Raw genomic sequence first — 19,584 nt, 5'->3', positions numbered from 1 at the left:
TTGCTTTCAAGTCTCGTAGAGGCTTGTGTTCCGGGGGCCCACATTCCTCTTCTGAGTGCAAGCAAATTGTTCAAACTGCCTTGCCGGGTCTGTCTGTATTGCCTGGTCCACCCTAGAAGGAATATGACCAGGTTCAAGTTTTTGTCCTGGCCATGGCATGTGAATTCACTAAAGGTAATGGGAAACTGGCCTGATTCATGACAGATTAGAGACTACAGTTGAACTTTGGAGACTGAAAAAATTATTTGAATTTTTCATTACATGTAAGAGCTCCATATTTTTTGTGTATTTCTCCATCTTCCTGGTAAACCCAGTAAAGTCACAACAAATATACAGAAGAGTTTTAATCTGTTTTGAATTACTTTAAAATTCTCAACCCAGCCTCTTAGTTAACTCAAGGACACGAAAAATATTAGCAGCTGAATTTGAGTCCCTGATATGTAGTTGCCTGATGTCACATCACAAGGGTTGGCAGAGTGATCACCTGGGTACCCGCACAGCTTAATGGCTCTGCAAAGAACAGGCAGGATGCAAATCCACCTTGGCCACTTTGGAGCAGCGCTCCTGTCTTAGCTGGAGCCTTGGCTGGTGCTGAGAAGCATAAAAGACAGGAAAGAGGAGGGGACAGGCTGCCTCTAGCCTCCTCCAGGAGGGAAAGTTGAGCTTAGTGGGTGATAAGTGTAGGTGATCTCAAAACATGAACAATTTCTGGTAGCATTTCATTCAAACAGAAGACAAGTACCCCAAGGAAGTAGAAAATACGTTGGCTCAAGAGTTTGCAAAAGAGGCAACATCTTCAATTAATTCATGGACTACATGGGAAGTGTGCAGAGGACAAAGAGGAAAGATGTAAAATTAAATACTTTAATTAAATAAGACATTGCCCAGTCAGACTTATTCATTGTAAGGACAGAAACCAACTGACTTATTTGAGCAGCAGATGAATTTATTTAAACCTCAAATCCCACCCAGGCCTGGCCGGAGAGGACACGTGGCCCTCACTGCCAGGCACTCGAGCTGGGACTTGCCCACTGCCCACCCTGGCATGGGGCCCCATTGTCATTTCTAGCCTGCTGACACTGCTGCCCTCTGTGGAGGGGCCTCTGCCCTCTGTTTCCAGGAAGGCTGGGACATGAGGATCTGCCGTGTTCAGCTTCTGAGTGGGAGGTACCTCTGCTTACCATGGAGGTTCATAAACTGGGGATTTCTCTGAGCATTAGAAAGAGTTAGAAGCAAAAAGGAAAAAAGAGACGTCTGCAGTTTTTCACCCCTTCTCCCTTAGCAACATCTTAGAAATGAAGAAGAGTCCTCCCTTCCAAAGGGCAGAATGGACCCAAACTCACACGGTGCTCTGAATTGACTCTGCAAAGGCATGGCTCTTCCTGCCACAGCCCAGGCATGAGTGTTGCTGCCTCTCCACTGACTGGTCATTCGCTGCTTTCCTCACCCAGCTGCTGGGGCTTGGCCGTTCTCTTGCTTCCTCCATGTGCACCTGGCTCATTAATTATGCTTTTCCAGGGAAACATGTGCATGAACTAACACTTAGTGCTTTAAAGCCTGCTTCAATTTTGAAACAATGTACAACTGAAAATTGTAGGCAAGATGAAATATGGATCTTCATCTGCCAGGTCTTTAAGCACTTTTCCTTCAAGCTCTCTTTTTAAAGAGAATGTTTAACCTGTGTATTTCATTTAAAACCTTTCTATAGTCAATAAATGATCATTGAGAATCTATGCCTGGTTCTAGGTGTGTGGACATAGACAGTTATCTCCATAGAACCCTGTAAGTAGTTATACCATCCCCTTTTGCAGATGAAGAAATGCAAGTATCATCTGGCAGAATGGCAAGGCTAGCTAATAAAAAGTCACTTCCCAAACACAGGCCTTTCTGTCCTTTGGAACCTACCCCTCCAAGGAGCTGTTTCCCTGGAAGATGCCCTCACCTAGGACAGCTTTGTTCTAGGGGGAGTCTCTTACCCCTGTGAGCCCATGCTCCAGACGTCCACAGTGGGCCTTCATACCTTGGCTATAGAGGTTAAATCAGGTATTGATGGACACGTGTCTGACAGAGTTCGTGTTCAGAGTGTTGGGGAACATTGCTGGAGTTGTAAGCTGGTTCTAATCATCAGAAAAAGTGTTGGAAAGTGGGCCTCTTTCCTTCTGTCCTCTCAGGGAGCTGGTAGCTCGTAGAGACTGAGAATCACATATCACACACCACCCCAAAGAGATGCCATCAAGTACAGAGTTGTAATGATTCTAATTAAAACACCAAAAACCAAAGTGAAATCCCTGAACAACAGAGAGTGAACATTACAGCTGCCAAGACTTTAGCAGCAGAAGGGAGCCCTACACAAAAACAAAGGAAAGGTGTTCTCTTGATGAAATGACTTTCTAGCCATTTCTGTCTGGGGAAAGCAGTGCATTTCAAGAGGAAGGGAGAATAGAAGTGTGGAAAAGTTCAATGCCCACATCAACAAAATCACATTCCATGAGGTTCACATGTGACCTTTAAAAAAGTTCAAACCATTCATTTCAATAGCATTTTTGTGCTTCAGATAGTACTTGACTGTAATTGAGTTTCTATGATAAGATCCAGGGATAACAAACAGATTATCATCAGTTGTCAAATGTGATCTTTCAAAAGTAAAGGGCGGTCAGGTGCGGTGGCTCATGCCCATAATCCCAGCACGTTTGGGGGCTAAGGCAGGAGAATGGCTTGGGTCCAGGAGTTCAAGACCAGCTTGGGCAATATAGTGAGAAACGATCTCTATGAAGAATACAAAAATTAACCAAGTATGGTGGTGTGCACCTGTAGTCCCACTATTAGGGAGGCTCAGTCAGGAGGATGGCTTGAGCCCCCTCAAGGCTGCAGTGATTCATGATCATGCCACTGCGCTCCAGTCTGACAACAGAGTGAGACCTTGTCTCAAAAGAAAAAAAAAGTCAAGGGCTCTGGCACAGTGGTGTGTGCCTGTAGTCCCAGCTACTCAGGAGGCTGAGGCATGAGGATCACTGGAACCCAGGGGTTCAAATCCAGCCTGGGCAACACAGCAAAAGCCTATCTCTAAAAAAATAAAATCAAATAATAAAATTAAATTTAAAAAAATTGAGGGCACTACAAAATGCCAACTGCAAATTGATGCAAACTCTCCACTAAAGAAACATTCATATGCCAATAGCATATGGAATGACAGAATACATCTTCAGACCTGGTGAATTAATATTTATTTGGCTATGACAGAGGGGCAGAGCTGTAGGTTTTGCTGGACAGGGCTCCAGGACCTGAACTGGGCCCCCTGGAAGCCTCCCCTTAAGATCTTGTCATGCAAAGAGGCTCCCAAGCATCCAGAGGGCCCAGATTATTTTCAACCAGCTGGAAACAGATAGAGCTTCAGAATTTTTACCTAAGCATTTTGTGGGGGAGGAAAAAAAATCCTACTTTCATTATCATTAGCCCCATGAGGATTCTAAAACCCCTGATGAAAACTAGGGCATATCAGGCAAATAGCCCTGCCCTGAAAGAAGGGGAAACCAGAGGCGCTCTGAGGGGCCTGTACTCTGCGTTTTTCCCAGGGTGTTTTATGCACCAGGTGTAGCAGATGAAAACACCAAACCTCCTGGCTTATGGAGGGATCCAACCACTGCACGTCCTACAGCACAGGAGACTCTTTAAAGTGTATCTGATGGCCGGGCGCGGTGGCTCACGCCTGTAATCCCAGCACTTTGGGAGGCCGAGGTGGGCAGATCGTGAGGTCAGAAGATTGAGACCATCCTGGCTAATATGGCGGAACCCCATTTCTACTAAAAATACAAAAAATTAGCCAGGTGTGGTGGCGGGCGCCTGTGGTTCCAGCTACTCGGGAGGCTGAGGCAGGAGAATCCCTTGAACCAGGGAGGCAGAGGTTACAGTGAGCCGAGATCACACCACTGCACACCAGCCTGGGCGACAGAGCAAGACCCTGTCCCAAAAAAAAAAAAAAGGAGAAGGAAAGAAAAAGTAAAGTGCATTTGATAAATTCAAATGCTCTCTACACGTTTCTGGGCACACTTTCTCTCACATAGTGTTTGGAGCAAAGAACTCAATGAACTTAAAATCCCACACAGAATGGTGGGAAAGTCTTGCTTCACAAGTTCCATCTGTGCTTATCAGTGTCCGTACCACCCAAATGTCCTTCTGGGACTAGTGTTAAGACCTCAAGATTAAGCCTCTGTCCAAGCGGAATTTCTGAGCAAATGTAGATTGTCACGGAAGTCTGCTGTTACACTGAGACAGAATAGTCCCGAAATGTTAAATTTACATTATGCTCACCCTGTAATTCATTTTAGACCCTCTTAGTCCTGCTCTTGTTAAGGGCAGGACTCACTGTCACAGACTGATTTGGGGTGTTAATTAATGCCTCTTCTCTCTTCCTCAAGGGACACCCTGAGTTTTCAAAGGCCTCTGCTAGCCACGCTCAGTGCAACCTGCAGGCTCCACCCTCCAGCCCTGACACAGATTTAGCCCAAATTAGACATGATGGAGAAGAAAGGGAGGGAGGCTGAAGGAGCCCTGTGGGTCCTGGGCTTTGTGAATGCGTTTGAGCAAGAGCGTTGCTAGAGTGCTTCTGATCTCAGAAAATACCAGATAGGCAAATCACCAGAGATGAAAAAAACAAACACAACACAACAAAAAAACCTTTTTTAAGGTAAAACTATAGAACGAATGAAGCAGATAGAATTACAGCTTTCTTCAGACAGTTTAAATCTTCAGTGTTTCCAAAACCTTAGGTTTTATCAGAGGAGGTTGAAAACCCACTAACTGAGTCCAGCCTCCGCATAGCACAAAAGAAGCAACCGAAGTCCCCAGGGGAGCCCAGTTTCTTCCAAGGCCACAGGTAAGGGAAGGGCAGAGCTCTGAGCGTGGTGGAGAAGCTCCACCTTCCAGCCTCTCCTCAGCCCACATGGCCTCCCTTTCTCTCACTGCAGACTCTTTGCTTTGAAGAAGCCACATCCTTGAGTATTTTGATAAAATCGCATCTCTATTTCTGTCAGCTCCTGGAAGTTGGAAACCAAGGCATTATTGAACCTTCATTAAGCTCCAGCATGTAGGAAAACCAGGGAAGCAAAAAGACTTCAAGGACCATCACTGTATCTTTATGTCATCCTCCATAGCACAACATATGTGAATAAAAAACACTGGTTAAATTGAGAAAAATCAGAGCGGGCCTGGACCTCAGTGTTTCCATTTTTGTGTTCTATTTTGTCGCTTGTGTTGGACATCAGGCATAAAGATTGTGTTAAACATACTCTTCCGATTCTTAGCACTTTATCACTATGGGTCTATGCAAGGCATTCAAATTATATTTATTTCTCTATTAATTCATTTACTGACCCATTCTTTTCTTTGGGAACTAGAGAAGCCCTCTTTACTTCTTATTAGTAGTAAAATAACAATCCTCTGGCCTTTATGAATATTGTAGAATTGTACAGGCACGCCTCGTTTTATTACACTTTGCTTGATTGCACTTCGCAGAGTGCATTTTTTTCCAAATGGAAGAGTTGGGGCAACCTTGCATCGAGCAAGTCTATCGGTGCCATGCCGCCAACAGCACATGCTCCATGTCTCTGTGTCACATTTTGGTAATTCTCATGATATTTCAATTTTTTTCATTATTATTATATGTTATGATGATGTGTGATCAGTGATCTTTGATGTTACTACTGTAATTGTTTGAGGGAGTCACAAACTGTTCCTCTATATAATACAGTAAATGTAATCAGTAAACGTTGTGTGTGTTCTGACTGCTCCACCAACCAGCTGTTCCTCTACCTCTCCCCTCTCCTCAGGCCTCCCTATTCCCTAAGACACAACAATACTGAAATTAGCCAATTGATAACCCCTCAATGGCCTCTAAGTGTTCAAGAGAAAGGGTCATATGTCTCTCATTTGCAATTAAAATCTAAAAATAAGCCAGACATAGTGGCACACATATGTAGTCACAACTGCTCAGGAGGCTGAGGTGGGAGGATGGCTTTTGCCCAGGAGTTGGAGTCCAGCTTGGGGAGAGGCAGGCAGGAAGGCAGGCAGGCAGGCAGGCAGGCAGGCAGGAAGGAAGGAAGGAAGGAAGGAGAAAGGGAGGGAGGGAGAGAGGGAAGAAAGGAGAGAGAGAGAAAGGAAGGAAGGAAGAAAGGAGAAGAAAGAAAGAGGAAGCAAGGAAGAAAAGAGAAGGAAGGAAGGAAAGAAAAAACTAGAAATGATTAAGCCAGTGAGTGAAGAAGGCTTGTTGAAAGCTAAGATAGGCCAAAAGCTAGGCCTTTTGCACCAGTTAGCCAAGTTGAAAATGCAAAGGAGAGATTCTTGAAGGAAATTAAAAGTGCCACTTCAGTGAATACATGAATGATAACAAAGTAAAACACTCTTTATTGCTGGTATGGAGAAAGTTTGAGCGGTCTGGATAGAAGATGCAACCAGCTGCAACATTCCCTTGAGCCAAAGCCTAACTCAGATCAAGCTCCTCTTTTCAATTCTATGAAGGCTGAGAAGAGAAAGCTGCAGAAGAAACTTTGGAAGCCAGCAGAGGTTGGTTTATGAGGTTTAAAAAAAGAAGCCATCTCTGTAACATAAAAGTATAAGGTGAAGCAGCAAGCGCTGATGGAGAAGCTGCAGCAAGTTATCTAGAAGATCTGGCTAAGGTCACTGATGAAGGTGGCTACACCAAACAGCAGATTTTCAGTGAATATGGAACAGCCTTCTACTGGAAGAAGATACCATCTAGGACTTTTTGTAGCTGGAGAGGAGGAGTCAATGCCTGGCTTCAAGGCATCAAGGGACAGGCTGACTGTCTTTTAAGGGCTCATGAAGCTGGTGGCTTTAAGTTGAAGTTGATGCTCATTTGCCATTCTAAAAATTCTAGGGCCCTAAAGAATGATACTAAATCTAGTCTGCATGTGCTCTATAAATGGAACAAAGCCTGGATAACAGTGCATCTATTTATATTATGGTTTACTGAATATTTTAAGCTCACTGTTGATACCTACTGCTCAGACAAAAATATTCCTTTCAAAATACTGCTCGTTGACAATGCACCTGGTCTAAGGCGCATCAGAGCTCTGATGGAGGTGTGCAAGGAGATTAATGTTTCATATCTGCTAACACAACATCCACTCTACAGCCCATGGATCATGGAGTAATTCTGACTTTCAAGTCTTACTATTTAAGAAATCCATTTTGCAAGGGTGTAGCTTCTATGGATAGTGATTCCTCTGATGGATATGGGCAAAGTAAATTGAAAACCTTCTGGAAAAGAATCACTGTTCTAAATGTCATTATGAACATTTGCAATTCACGGGAGGGGATCAAAAGATCAGCATTAACAGCAGTTTGGAAGAAGTTGATTCCAACCCTCATGAATGACTTTCAGGGGCTCAAGACTTGAGTGGAGGAAGGAGCTCCAGAGGTGGTGGAAATAGCAAGGGAACTGGAATTAGAAGTGGAGTCTGAAGATGTGACCGTATTGCTACAATCTCACGATCAAACATGAACTGATGAGGAGCTGTTTCTTATGATGGGCAAAGAAAGTGGTTTCTTGGGATGGAAACGACTCCTGTTGTAGATGCTGTTGAACATTGCTGAAATGACAACAAAGGATTTAGAATATTATGTCAACTTAGCTGATATATCAGGGACAGGGTGTGAGACTATTGACTCCAGTTATAAAAGTTCTAATATGGGTAAAATGCTATCAAACATCATCCTATGCTACAGAAAAATCTCTTGTGAGAAAAAAGAGTCAATCACTGCAGCCAATTTCATCGTTGTTTTATTTTAGGAAATTGCCATAACCAACACCCTGATCAGTCAGCAACCATCAACATCAAAACAAGACCCTCCACCAGCAAAAAGAGTGAAAGTCACTGAAGGCTCTGATGATCGTTAGCATTTTTTAACAGAAGGTATTTTTAAATTAAGTTATATAAATTATTTTAGACATGATGCTATTGCACAGTTACTAGACTGCAGTATTGTCAACATAACTTTATATGCACTGGGACACCAACAAATTCATGTGACATTGCTTTACTGTGGTGATCTGGAACCGAGCCCACGACATCTCCGAAGTCTGCCTGTATTTGATACCCTGCTTCATGCCTCAGAGATCCTAGTTATTTTCTATAAATCTAACTTGCTTATTTTGATAGTAAATAAGCTAAATAAAGCGAAATTATACCTCACCCACATATTCTAAGCAGTTAAAGACATTTGAAGCCTCCAATTTGCAGACTCGTAACTCTGATGATTGAGAGGCATAGCTGAATGACTGGTGGAGAGAGTGATGTGGTTCTCAGGATGGCTGGGTGCTTTCTCTCTGCTTTGATGCTCCTCCAGAGGATGCTTCATTACTTGCAGGATAGAGAACTGATTAAAAAAATACTAATAAAGAAATATATTATCTTGAAAGTTTGGCCTGAAGAATTCAGTATGCAGGATATTATCTCATGCTCAAGTAATTGTTAATCTCAAATGATTCATAAATCAATCCTTAAATACACCTAGTCATTTTGCCAAATTTCACATGTGTGTGTATAACCCAGTACTGACAATGATTTATAATGTAGTAAAATGGGTACAAAGACATTTCGCTGATGGCAGTGTACATCGATACAACTTTTGGAGAGTGCTATGGCAACCGTATTTCAAAAACAATAAGAAGGTTCACAATATTCAATTCAATAATCTCACTCCTGAGAATTTATTCAGGAAAAGAGTCCACAGGAATAATTCAAAGAAGAGGAAAGATTACATACATAATAATGTTCATTACAGAAGCTATGTTCTAGTGAGGCAAACATAAACATAAGTAAGGAATGAAATATATCTATAGATGGTGAAAAATGACATGATGCGAATAAGCGTGATGATGTGATATGATGCAATAGAGAAGAATGGGAAGGCGTTCTGTTCATATGATGTTCAGGGAAATTCCCTCTGAGGGGAATGACCTTTGAGCCAAGACCTGAAAGTAAGAATGAACCAGTCATGTGAAGAGCTCAGTGAAAAGCATCCCAGAGGACATCAGCTACAAACATGTTGAGATAGGAAAGAGCTTGATAGGTCAGGAAGGGGATTATCCATGTGATCAGAATGGGGTGAGCCAAAGGAGAGAAGCATAGGTAGAGTTGGGGTGGGAGACGGTAGACGGTGTGATGTGTGAAAACGCTAGAATCAAAGATGCATGCGATGAGCCCCGCTACATGAAGGTTTTGCATGCATATGAAGACAAACTGCGGGAAAACATAGAAAAATAAAAAAGAATAGTGTATTTTTTTAAAAAAATTGCTGTAAACATTTTTACAATATTATTTGCCCAAAATTAAGATTGACTTGGTTGAATATGCAAAACACAGTCTTGATATTGCACCATTATGACATGAAACCCATTCTCCTTCACCCCTATGCCCATTCCCACTTCATTCCCACCCATTCCTGCATGGTAGATGTAATCTTCCTTAAAGACCTTCTTTTCCGCTGTAGCATGCTCCATGATGCCAACCACAACGACTGATTCACCTTAAACCCACGAAATTGAATTTACCTTGAGAACTCAGTTCACTTTGAAAACCCCTAGAAACATAATTCTATAGTTTTTAACCCTGTACTCAAGTCGCTCACAGCCTCAGGGCAGAGTTCTTATAATACAAAAATCTGCCTTTAATAACAGTCTGAACTATTGAGCCCCAAGGAATCAGAGGAGCAAGGCTATCTGCAAAATGTAGAAAATGGACAATGCCTAAATCCATTCACATTTTTCAGGTGAAGCAAATAAAATTTTAATAATCAATATTTTAATAATCAATCATCAGTGGGCATATACCGTTAGTGCTCACCCATACCAATGTGCTCATGGACATTTTCGGGTCTCCTCTGCAGTTAGGTAGGGTGGGCCATTTGCCGAATATGGTCTATGGAATGTGAACGGCAGTGAAATGTTCCTTCCAGACTCGGCATCTGGTATGATTTCCCTATGGTTTCTTTTCCTGTCCACATGGCTGGGACTGAAAGGATCCAAGAATGCAGAGCACATGTAGAAGGAGGGCAGATCTCTGAGTCACTACATGAAGGAGAGCTGCCCAGAAGAGCTGCTGGACCCCATCAGGCTCCATGTGAGTGAGAACTAAACTTGGATTGTTTTAAGCCTCTGAGAGTTCGGGAGCCATTTGTGACAACAGCTAGCACATATTACCTTTCCAAATTATGACATGCTCTATGAGATGGATTTGCAGAGTCGTCCCACTTCCTCTGTTTTTTTAGAACTCTTATTTTCATAAAATATTGAACCATATGTCTCTTTGGAAGACACCAATTATATTTCCCAATCTCAATTATTATGTCTACAGTAGAAAAAGAAACCTTAAGATTCTCCAACATGGAGAAAACAAAACATGGCCTAATAGACTCGTGCTGCCAGATTGATGCTGCCTGTAAAAGTCCAAAGAGCGCAATGGAATTCCAAAGGATCTCTTCGTTTGGGGTTTTGCTTTTTCCTGTGTTGCTCCTTCTGCCTGAGGTGCCTTTCCCCTCTTCTCTGCCTGTCACCATCTCACCAATGTTGAATGGTCCAACTCAAATATCAGCTCTCCTTCAGAACCTTTCTCTAGCCAGCCCCAGGCAGAATTAATCACTTCTTTTTTTGTCCTTGAAAAGCTCATCGATGACCTCCTAGATGACAGACCCAAGGTCTTCTTTTCAGTCTATATCCTATTTGATCTCTTTTGCATTTGTTAATATTAAAAACCTCCTCTTTATTTTTTTAATATCCTTTTTTAGTATTTGAGATTTTGCTCCCTATGCATTCTGTGCTTACCTTTCTCACCACTCTTCTCACCCCCTCTTCTGGCCCCTTCTGCACTTTCTCCTTAGATGTTGATGTCTCCCTGTTACATCCTTGACTCTCCACTTACTTCACAAACTCACTAAAGAATTTCATCCTCTCCCTTGGTTTCTATAACTAACAGTTAACCAACGACACCAAAAGGGATGTCTCCAGCTGAACTCTCTCCTGGACTCCAGACTCATATTTCCAACTATTCACTAGAAATCTCTACCTGGATGACTTCCAAGCACTGCACAAAATGGACTAATTTCCTTCCTCCCCAAGCATGTTCTGCCTCCTGTATCCCTTCTCTCACTTAGCATCATCACCAATTCACAGCTACCCAAGCTAGTAACCTCAAGAGTTCTTCTCTCTCCTTCTCTCTTCCTCATCTTCCATATACAAATATTGCCAATTCTTATTTTATAAGTCCTTATGTAAAGAAAAGAATATTGTCAAGTGCAGTGGCTCACACCTGTAATCCCAGCACTTCGGAAGGCCAAGACAAGAGTATTACTTGAACCCAGGAGTTCAAGACCATCCAGGGCAACATAGCGAGACACAGTCTCTACAAAAATTTTAAAAATTAGCTGGGTGTGGCGGCACATACCTGTAGTCCCAGCTACTTGGGGGACTGAGACAGGACGATCACTTAAGCCCAGAAGGTTAAGGCTGCAGTGAGCCATGATCACGCCACTGCGCTCCAGGCTGGGCAACAGAGCAAGAACTTGTCTCTAAGAAAAAAAAAAGAATATGGATGGCCATGGTGTCAGAGACCTAAGTTCAAATTTGACTCAATCAGTTCCTAGTCATATTACCTGGATCAAGTTACTTAATCTCTCAGAGCTTGTAATTTCTTATCTATAAAATGGGGATAATAATTAAATATGGAGGTCTCAGGGGTGTTATAAACATTAAATGAGCAAACACATGGAAAAGGACTAGTGTAGACAGATCAGATACTCATACATGTTAGCCTCTTTTTTTTCTGTAAATAACCCTGTTACACTGCCCCTGTTCAAGACCTCATCACCTCTCACCTGGATTAGCGTGACGGCTGTAGAATGACTCTGCCTCCCTTCTCTTCCCCGTTCCCACTCCCAGATGGGTCTTTTTCCTTCAAATCTCTGGTGCTATGCTCTTCTCACACACAGGTTCTATCATACCTGGCCTAAAACTTTGTGAACTCCCAAAGATAAAGCTACTCATCACTACCCTCGTCATCATGTCTTTCCCTGACCACAACATGTCTGTTCTAGTTGGAGCCCTTTTAATTGCAAGGTACAACTTAAAGACTGGTAAGTTTCACCCAAGAATGCCAGAGCTCTGGGAAAGACAATAGCGTTGCACCAAGCTCAGGCCTTAGCTGAATACAGAGCCCACTACACCTGTCCTGGTCCCAAAACATGGAATGGCTGTGGAAAGCAGTAAGATAACATTTTGGTCTCCATACATACTTGAAACTAGGAGAGAAATCCCCCATGTGCCAGCTCACATTCAGAGCAGTTGGTAAAAGATGAAACCCAACAGGAATTCAGACCAAGTGGGTCTGATGGCAGGGGGTCCAAGCTCTACTGTCTGAGGAGGAGAGTGAGATCCAGCAGGAACAGACCACACCGGAGGGACGTGAGAACCTCTCTACCTGCTTAAAATCCTGAAGGGCTGAGAAAAGAACTGCATACATTCTATCTGTTGACCAGGGTAAGCTCTAAAGAAGTTTGCCGTTCACCAAGGCTGTGGTTGGAAAAGGAATTATCTGGTAGAAATGACAGCCCTAGGATGATGCATGCATGTGTACAGAGCCTGAACTTTGACTTTACATGTGATGCAAGGAGCCCAAAAAGAAAGGCTAAACAGCAAAACCCACCAGGCCAGGAAGAGGCAAACACAAAGTCTTGCTATGGGGCCAGTTCCCTCCTCATCCCTGTGCTGCTCTGCTCTCCATGGTTTACACTCCAGCACAACTCTGCACACCCATGGTTCAGCCCCCATGATTTGCCTCAGCCTCTCCTTTCATGCAAAGTCACCCCAGTTCCCCCAGACAACTGGCAACAGTCTCCTTGTTTCCCAATGTGAAAATCCTGAGCCATGACTGGCTTGGCTAGCTCATCTCTGCAATCCAGGCCACAAGTCATGGAGCCCTAAACAAGCTATAAGCTGGCTTCTTTGAAACCACATGTCTGCCCCCGGTCCCCTTAGGCATGAACCAGAGATGGGCTCATGTGGCCGGCTTTGGGGAGCAGCAACTACGGATGAGTAGGGAGATGACGGCCACTTTCCAAGAACAACGCACTGTGCTCAGGCTGTTCCTCTAACTGGAACACACTCTTCATGGGCCTCCCGCAGCCTCTTCTCTGCCTGGTAAAGATCAAATATCTCTAGAAGGCCACTTCAGGCCTCCAGGCAGCAGCAGCAGCCCCTCTCTAGGCTCCTACAAGCACGCTGTACTCACCTACATAGAGTATACCACTTACATGTTGAATCACAATTATTTGTTTATTCGTGTGTTGTTTACTAGACTGTGAGTTTTTCAAGGGCAAAGACTGTCTCTTAGCTGTCCTTGTATTCCCAGTGCCCAGCACCATTCCTACTACCACCCAGGAGGGACTCCATGAGTGTTCATCATTTGATACATGAGCCAAGTCACCTGCACATTCTGTACTATCTACTCAGCACTTTACAGAATCCCCCCTAATAGCACAGGATGACGGATCAAGAGTCCAGCTTCCTTGGGTTACAGATAAAGAAACACGGCCCCTGGCAGGTGAGGGAGCTTGACAAATTCACATGCATGGTGAGCAGAGGCTCTGCGATGGGAAGGATGTCTCTCTCCTTCGGCCTCCTCAGTCAGGCAAGGGGTCTGCCCACAGCTACAGATGTCTCCAAAGAGCGAGAGTGGATGCGACCCTATCAACCACCTCCAGCTCCAGTGGGCTGCAGGGGGATAGCACCCCATGAGTTTTATCAGGCTCAGAGTAGCTTTAGAAGTACAAGCGTTTCTACAACCTCTGCTGCTCAACAGGAATCACTCCTCTTGTTCTTTATTGAGCCGCCCTCAATGCAAACCAGGTCCTCCCTGAGAAAGGTCCGATCACCCCTAGCTTTTGAAGTTAACATCTGAGGCCCTCTCTGTGGATCAATGACACAGGCAGAGAAAGGACAGATCTGTCTCAGTGGCCCCAGTACAAGCGATTCCAGTCTAGGACTCTCTGATCTACCCTGCAGGCTTATTCCATTGTCTTGGAGTGAGGCCACGCTTACACAGGAAGCCCTGTGTATCACGCTGCACTGTGGGCAGAAACATTGCAAAGTCCTTCCTATGACTGATAAACAGTGTTTGGTTTGGATCAAGAGGAAAAATAAGGCGCTCGGGATAATAGAGGCGGATGGGGAAAACACACGGGACTCCAAAATGAGAGCAAAAGAAGATGATTGCTTTGAACCATTAATGTAGTAACAAACTCTAGGAACAATGAGCATTGGCCAGAACAAGCTTCCTGCCATCCAGCTGCAGTCAAAGCTGAGAGTTCACGGAGGCCAGAGAACTGGCAGGAGCTGTGTTATGACTGGGGGAGAACAAACAGGCCAGGTCAAGAAAGGCAGGCACCCTTCAAAGGACAACATCTCAGGACGTAGATGACTTCAGCTGCAGTCACTAACAAAGAAAGGTGTCCCCTCCTGCAGAATGATAACATGAGACAATCTGAAAGGAAGAAAAAGGCAGATGGCCAGGCTGTGGCCGAAAACTGTTAACGTTCCTCTCTAACAATAGGGTTGATAGTATTATTTGTTTTTGTTAAACTGCTTTAGGAGGTGGTGGGTGGTGGCTGACCCCACTTCACCAGGGACCCATGTGAGGAAACATCATGACTGTCTCACTAACTCCAGGACCTTTTGTTTTGCTGAATGAGGGATACAAGTTGAGGGGGAAAGCTAAGTTGCTCAGGATGTAAGAAGGAATTCTTAGAGGCTGTACAAGGGGTAAGTAAGAGGAGAAAAGACACCACTGGCAGGGGAGAAAAATGTGGGCAGCAGGAGTAGGGAGTGGAATAAAAAAAAAGTTGGATGGGAAATTTAATTTACTAAGAGGTGTGAGCTGGGATCTTTCATCTCTGTTTTTTCATTTGCTGAAGATTTCAGTAAAATAAGTACTTCTTCCTAAACACACCATGGAATGCATTCATTTTATGGGATGCTGATTTTGGACCCAGGTGGATGTGGGGTGAGAGCTGAGTTCCCTGCCCCAGCTAAGTTATACTTTTGAATAAACTGTTTCCGTGGAACTTCCCATGCCAGGATCTCAGGCCTTTGACCAAAGTGCCAACTTGGCATGAATAAAGGAAAATAATTTTTTCCCTTATCTCCACTCCCAGAGCTCTGCAATTGCAGTTAAAGCTAGATGATTTATTAATAATTTAGTACAGTACTTATTCAGAGATTTTGTGCTTTGTTTTTCACTGTGGCAGACTAATTAGGCAAGAATAGAGTTGAAAAAAAGAGAAGTTGCTAGGCAGGGCCTAGGAGGAAAAACCAAAATAGACTTTTTATCCCCCAGGTGTAGGCCCAGTGAGGATAATTAGGCCAGGTTGTCCCAGCGGGGTAGATGTGGATAAAGTCTGGGTAGTTCAAAGGCTGAAGAGAGAAGGGATTGACTAAAGAAGAAATCGAAAAAGAACTGGGCAGGTGTGGGCTCCACAGTCCAGGAACCCGAGCTGGCTGGATGACTGGGTTGGGAAGGAACTCAGATGGGACAGCAGTACGGGTACCTGTGAGGCCTTGGGAGCTTTAGTAGTCAGGATAGGCCAAGTTATGCTGCATTACAGATACACTCCGAAACTTCTGAAATACAAAGAGAGTCAAGCTGCTGTTAAAGCAGCTTCCTTGGTTAGTTCTTCTCCATATGGCTACCAAAGGCCCCAGGCTGCTTCAATCTTGTAGCTATGCCTTGCAGAACACACGACTTCCAAGGACACTGTCGAACAGGAAAGAATTAATAGTAAAGAGATGTATTGCCCACCGTGGTAGCCACTAGCCACATGTGGCTAATTAAATTTAAATTGATTAAAATTAAATAAAATTTTAAATTCAAGTCTTTGGTCACATGAGGCCAGTGGCTACCACAGTGGACAGCACAGATATAAAACATTTTCATCATTGCAGAGAGTTGTGGTGGACAGAGCTGGCCTGGAGGTTTACACAGGGGGCTTTATTGCCCTTCCAGGAGGTGGCCTTCATCACTTCTGCCACATCCCACTGGCTGGAACCCAGTTCCTTAAACCCAACCTCACCACTACGTAAGCTGGGGTGTGTCCGCCCAGAAGGGAGTGGGATTGGTGAGGCTCTAACCACCCCCACAGGGGGCCTTGAGGGAATCTCACTGGGCCAGCTTGGAGGGACCCAAAAACTGCCCACCTCCAAACGGACCGAGGAGCAGACTGCCGAGCGCAGGAGCACAGACTGACTGAATTATACAATGAGTTCCTTCCTTGTACAATCCAAAGATGGAGTGAGAGGAGGGGAGAGGGAGAGGGAGAAAGCCCTGAACAATGGCTGAAATAGAATTTTTCCCTAAGCTTGCATAGTAGAAAATTAAGTCCAATTTTATTTGATTCAGAAAAAATAAAGAAATAGAGCACTTTTTCCACTTCCATGGATCTTGGGCATTTTTTTTGTTTTTGTTTTTGTTTTGTTTTGTTTTGAGAGGGAGTTTCACTCCTGTTGCCGAGGCTGGAGTGCAATGGCGGAATCTCAGCTCACCGCAACCTCCGCCTCCAGGGTTCAAGAGATTCTCCCACCTCAGCCTTCCGAGTAGCTGGGTCTACAGCGCCCGCCACCACATCTGGCTAATTTTTGTATTTTTAGTAGAGATGGGGTTTCACCATATTGGCCAGGCTGGTCTCAAACTCCTGACCTCAGGTGATCCACCCGCCTCGGCCTCCCAGAGTGCTGGGATTACGGGCGTGAGCCACCGCGCCCGGCCAATCCTGGGAAATTTTTATCCACTACATCGTTTAAATTGTGAAAGTGTATGAGGAACAGCAAACATGTCCCTAAAGGTTAGTGCCGGAAGCCAAGTGACGGCCACAGACCACCCGCCATTCCTCTCCCACCAGAGATACCCTAACTTTTCTCTCAGAGGGGATCTGCAGGGAGGGAAAAACACAGAGTTTAAAATCCAGCAGGTGTGAGATCCCCTCCTGACACCAAAGTCAGGTCCCGTCAGCAGGGTGGGGCGGGGCCTGGCAGCCCTGATGTAGTGGCCACACGTGGAGCCTGTGCTGGGACAGAGAATTTTGCAAACGGCCAGACAATGGGGGCAGGACCAGGCCCCAGGCCACAGGGGCAGCAATACCGTAACTGGGAACGCAATTCAGGATGTCAGAAGCCGGGAGAATCGGGGAAATTCAGGAAGCACGGTGCAAAGAAGGTCCGGGCAAAGGTTCACGCCGAACTTTGTGCTCAGCCCAGGGCCTCTGAGAGCAAGCTCCGAATGCAGCGGCCAGAAGACATGGAGTGGGACCAGGCGTTAGCCAGATCCTCAGCCTCTCCGCGTCTCAGGTCCCCATCTTAACCAAAGGAAATGATCTTTCCTACCTCCAAGTATTGTAATGATGTTTAGGTAGCACCTAATAAACGTTCTTTGTATAATCTTCTTTTATTGTGGATTTCTATTTGACTGTTATCTTTGAAGACCTAGCTATAGCCCTGCCTTCTTCATGAAGCTTACAACATTTTCTTCTCTGACCTGTTTCAAATTAATTTGAATTTCATAAGACTACAGGCTGGTTTTCTAATTATCCCACAATTAAGTCACTACATAGATGTTTCTTATTGTTTTTCTCACTACTTTTTTCTTGTGTGTGTGTATATATATATATTTGTTCTCTAACTAGGAGATTATTATAAGTAGCGAGCCCTCTTAGAGTAGATTTACAATAGGTTCTCAGGGAATTATTTTATGAATTTAGATAGACGAGGGGCCCTCTCTGGTGAACTGTGAGGCCTATTTTGGTTTGAATAGAATTCATATGAGTATTATTGATAACCCAGATATCACTCTGAATCCTTGTGTTAAGGAAATCTGAATCAAAAAGCACAAAGATGTTATAATTTTTGAAAAAGGGAGTCTCAAGAAAACCATGGCTTGTTTCTAGAATATTGTAGATAGTTCCACTTCCAAACATCAAAAAGAACGTCTAACAGCCCAGAGAGGGACAAGGAAGCAAGCGACCCCAGGGTCCCATGAATGAGCAGCTTCCACCAGCAGGAGGGCCTCACACAAGTGGATGCCTCTGCCTGAAAAGAAGGGGCTGGGAGACTTCAGGAGGAAGATGTCAGAGAAGGGCCTGGCCAGTCTCAAAATCTTGGAACCCTAAGCTTAAGTCGAAAGAGATTGTCGTGGTGACAAATAGAGGAAATATTGTTTACTACACTAAGTTGTAAACATATGGAGCAGATTATGCTAAGAATGTCAGGGGAAAATATAAATAGATTTTAAGTGGATTCAGATCAATTCATGCATAATGGACCTTATTATTAATAGGTTATTAAGGGAAAGTTGGAAATATTCTGCGGTTGTCGTCACGAATCCTTTGAGATCAATGTCAGATAGCAAAACTCTACGACTCACCCAACAAACCTCTCCCAGCACCATGTCAGAGGCAAACACTGACCCTAGCCTGACATTCTACAGCATTGATTCAGTTCTTATCTCTTTATATCTTGCAGCCAAGAGCCTTGAGCTTTATCTACATTGAATGGAATTAATTAAATTTAGAGACAGTGGAGTGGTTGGTTGAAAAATGGCTCGTCAATACTAAATAATTTATAAATACAGACAACCTCCCTCATTCCAACTCAGTGAAATCAATCCAACAATTTATTCAACCCCCAAAGTAGTACATTCCACCTTGGGGTGTTGCCGACTAGAGGTACATGACCACCTGCCATCAGAGCTTATCTTGATCTTGAGACAGGAGTCAGCCAATATTTTAAACCAAACTCAAGTGGAAAACACAAGAGAAAGAGGAAGTAGCTAGAGTCTACTGTTCCTAGACACAAAAAGAATTAACTTGACTACAGACAGGAAGGGTTGCAACTGGCAAGGGAGTTAGGAATGGACTAGAGTAGAACCATTGCCTCAGTTTGTGGCTTAGGAAAAGAAATGCCAAAGGGGGATGATTGGCCAAGGATGCACATTGTGGGTTGAAGGTGGGGCCAAGGGCCACCTCCTCTCTCCCATGCAGGGTTCAATCCCATCTGAGACAAAACTATTTTCACACTATGCTGATTAGTTTATTGGAGTCCAGGATAAAGAATTTTATACCTTGATGTCTGGAACTGAGATTGAAATCACTCCAGAATTTTGTTGGAAATGCTAACATTAAACAAAAGGTGTGGGCTAGAAACAGTTTGAAGAAAGTCTGGACATTCTGGCATTCGGGGAGATGTGTTCAAGATGCCTTCTCCCAACTTCTCCCACACACCCCAACTTGTATAGCAGTGAGGTTGGGGTTAAGGGACTAGGTTCCAGCCAATGGGATGTGGCAGAAGTGATATAGGCTACCTTCTGGAGGGACAACAGAGCCCCTTGTATAAACCTCTAGACCAGCTGTGTCCACTGGAACTCTCTGCACTGGTGGTGATGTTCTGTACTACACTGTCCACTGTGGTAGCCACTGGTCTTATGTGACCAAACACCTGAATTAAAATTTTATTCAACTTTAATTGAATTA

General features: G+C 44.1%; 2 annotated features.

The window, feature by feature from the left end:
- Positions 552–1,052: an enhancer, noted in NCBI's record as "H3K4me1 hESC enhancer chr18:10283555-10284055 (GRCh37/hg19 assembly coordinates)". NCBI's record gives its function as "activates a minimal SCP1, AML or CMV promoter by ChIP-STARR-seq in naive H9 embryonic stem cells {active_cell/tissue: H9 hESC(naive)}" and the evidence as "EXISTENCE:reporter gene assay evidence [ECO:0000049][PMID:30033119]".
- Positions 1,053–1,553: an enhancer, noted in NCBI's record as "H3K4me1 hESC enhancer chr18:10283054-10283554 (GRCh37/hg19 assembly coordinates)". NCBI's record gives its function as "activates a minimal SCP1, AML or CMV promoter by ChIP-STARR-seq in naive H9 embryonic stem cells {active_cell/tissue: H9 hESC(naive)}" and the evidence as "EXISTENCE:reporter gene assay evidence [ECO:0000049][PMID:30033119]".

This window comes from Homo sapiens, chromosome 18 (genome assembly GCF_000001405.40).
Source record: "Homo sapiens chromosome 18, GRCh38.p14 Primary Assembly".
Lineage (NCBI taxonomy): Eukaryota > Metazoa > Chordata > Mammalia > Primates > Hominidae > Homo > Homo sapiens.
This window is presented reverse-complemented; position numbering and strand designations above follow the sequence as displayed.